This window comes from Homo sapiens, chromosome 6, assembly GCF_000001405.40.
Source record: "Homo sapiens chromosome 6, GRCh38.p14 Primary Assembly".
NCBI classification, from domain to species: Eukaryota; Metazoa; Chordata; class Mammalia; order Primates; family Hominidae; genus Homo; species Homo sapiens.
Window position 1 is genome coordinate 163,778,993 of NC_000006.12, and position 3,199 is coordinate 163,782,191.

The following is a 3,199-nucleotide window of genomic DNA, read 5'->3' on the forward strand; positions in this document are numbered from 1 at the left end:
TAAACACCTTGGATCTATCTATCTATCTACCTGTCTGTCTATCATCTATCTCACTTACCTACCATCTATCATCTCTCCATAATCTGTCTTGAAAAATGCTGCCATTGTTTGTTTTGCCTTAACAGGAATAAAATGCTATTTTTTTTTCTGTGATTTGAAAATGCCTTTTGCTTTTAAGAGTTCATCATTCCACACAGCTTGGTGGATGGGAAAATTCAGATTGTATGAGTTCTCTTTTGACTTCATTGTAGAGATTGAGTATATCAAGCAGGAAAAAATACATTCTAGCAAGTCACAAATAAAAAACAATAAAACATTGGGCTATTTTTTTTTAATTTACCTTGGAAAGTCACAGAATTTATGTGTTTCAGCAAAGTTGCCGCTAGAAAAGATGGGATAGTAGAACCAAGTCAAACAAAGAAAGGCTGCCCCTTCTTAAGTGCTGAGCACTGTCTCTCCGTCAGCTCTAATTCCCGTAACAACTCCAGAGCCAGGTATGATACTACTGCCATCCCCGTGTTAGGAGGAGAGTGCATTCCCAGGGAAGTTGATGAAATTGCCTGAGGAAGAAGTGTGGTGAGATCTGGACCCAGGCAGGCAGCCCCCACAGTGCTGCTCCTAACCACTGCACCACGCTGCCTCTGTCATTTCATCATGGGGGCACATGCTGACGTGACTGTAATTGCATCCTCACATTTGTGGCAGGGTTGGTGTGGCAAGTGAAAAGAGCACAGACGTGGCAGCCCCTCAGCCGTTTGCTGCCGTTTCTGCTTGCTCACCTACCAGAAGGGCAAATTCGGAAAAATGACTCCCCTTTGTTAAATGCAGACACAGTTATGCATCTTAGAGGATTGTTGTGAGGAGTAAAGAAGTTACACTTGTTAATCATCATAATGAGTGCCCAGGTAGATAATATTTTTCTTCTGTTATCCACTCGCTAGACGAGCATGTGTAGTTTTGTGTTAGGGCATGCAGTGGGAATAAAAGAAAGCTGGGCTGCAGGTATCAGCAAGTTTTCAGTTTACTTGAAAAGAAAAGAGAAAACAAATCATTCAGAATGACACATTGCATTTATCTATGCTTGTGCTTTATGTGTCTTGGAAACTAGGACCCTAAGCTGAGTTGACTTCGATAAGAATACTTTTCCTCAGATTATCTGTAAATTTTATAAACAATTTTAAGTGCCTTCAGAATCTCTAATCTTTTCTGTTGCATGCATGGATTTTTTTTTTTTGGCTTTAAATGCATTCATGAAGTTCAGTGACTCTCTTAAACACCTTGGATGTTTTTTTTTTTCTTTTTAACTGAGAAAGAGATTTGACAGAGAGAGTCTTCATCACCATTGGTTTAACCTTTAAGAAGTTTGAGATTGAGAAGCTAATACTCAGAAAATAATCTTCTAAGAGTCTGCAAAAAACCCACATGCATGAATATTAAACAAAAAAAGTATATTATTATATGGTTGTCATCAAATTAAACTTAAGTGAAAATAGTATTTCCTATTTAGACAAGTTCCTTGAAGAGCCCCATTTTGCTTATGATGCATCCTTTTCAGGTGAGATGACTTTTCATTATTAACTATTGATAAATTGAATAAATTTCCCTCAGTGAAGGTCACCCTTAATTATCAGGGCTCACCTAATCAAGAACTTCTCTCTCCCTTTGTGTTGAAACAGCTGATTGACCAAAAACACTTGCATAATAGCCTTGTGTTGCTCTTTTCCCACCTGAGGTAATCAATCACCCTGTTTCTTTGCTTTTGAAAGAGGAATATTTGTAACTTCTAGCGATTCAACCACTGTCCCCACTGTGGAAATACCAATGTAGGAGAATTCTTGATACATGCAAGTTATCCAGATCCCTAAATAAGCAGTATTTTGTAAAAGGATGATATTTCCCTGTTTAAGTTTAAAATTTCTACTTTAATGAGAAATCAATTTTGCATCATCTCTTTGGACATCGAGTTTACCTCCCTGCTGTCAGAGCTGTGCAGAAGAAAGCAGAGTCTATGAGTCTTCTCACCACAGCATAGAAAGATTTTTTTTTTTTAAACACGTAGGGGAATTATGCTGAGGGCCTATTGGGCTTCTGGTAAGGACAGCTGCAAGTAAGTTGATACCATTTGGGCTCGGCCTCAGATTCACTGCCAGCCCTGGGTGGGCAGCTGGCCTGTGCTTCGGTGTGGAACAACAGGCTGACTCCAGTAACGTTGGTCCCGGGCTCTGGAAAATCCTGGGCAGACAGGACAAATGCTTTAGGGAACAACTGCTTTGAAAGAATAGACTGTTTGAAACTCCCAGCTGTGAGGGCCATTTGTGAGAAAGACTCCATGCCAGGGTGAGGGTCAAAAACAGCTGCTGCCTGGGGCTTACATTTCCAACCAGAGTAAATTGCTGGCTCCAGGACAGAATTTTGATCATCTGTGGATTTGTTAAAATTCAGCTGCCGATGTCTATGGGGTCATAACTCTGGACCCCAATCTAAATGTCTCTTGGCATTTGGGCCTTTACCAGCTAAAAGCAGCCCCCCTAAATAGTCCTCTACTCCCATCTGAGGTGCCACAAGCATAGCTTTCATATTGTTTCTTTTAAAATAAATCCAGGTTGGGCACGGTGGCTCACACCTGTAATCCTAGCACTTTGGGAGGCTGAGGCAGGTGGATCATCTGAGATCAGGAGTTCGAGACCAGCCTGGCCAACATGGTGAAACCCTGTCTCTACTAAAAATACAAAAATTAGCCAGGAGTGGTGGCGCACTCCTGTAGTCCCAGCTACTCAGGAGGCTGAGGCAGGAGAATTGCTTGAGTCCAGGAGGCAGAAATTGCAGTGAGCAGGGATCGTGCCACTGCACTCCAGTCTGGGCAACAGAGTGAGACTCCGTCTCAAAAAAAAAAAAAAAAAAAAACATAAATAAATAAATAAACAAATCCATAATGTCAAATCTTCTAGCCTCCCACTTCGTCAGGCAATATCCATAGCACTTAGTACAGCAGTGAATATTCAGCAAGCTCTAACCATGTATTGGTCGAATGAAAGAATAGTTATCTATGTTAGATAATGATTTTCCAAAAGACCTATGAGGAGGATAAGGTGACTTCCCCAATTCAGGGGATGGTGTAAAGAAGGTGTTGCCTCCTCTTCTTTGAGAAATCGTGTACAAGTGGCCGGGCACAGTGGCTCATGCCTGTAATCCCAGCACT

The 3,199-nt window shown here is 41.2% G+C and overlaps 1 annotated feature.

Moving 5' to 3' along the window:
* Positions 2,035 to 2,569: an enhancer, noted in NCBI's record as "OCT4-NANOG hESC enhancer chr6:164202059-164202593 (GRCh37/hg19 assembly coordinates)". NCBI's record gives its function as "activates a minimal SCP1, AML or CMV promoter by ChIP-STARR-seq in naive H9 embryonic stem cells {active_cell/tissue: H9 hESC(naive)}" and the evidence as "EXISTENCE:reporter gene assay evidence [ECO:0000049][PMID:30033119]".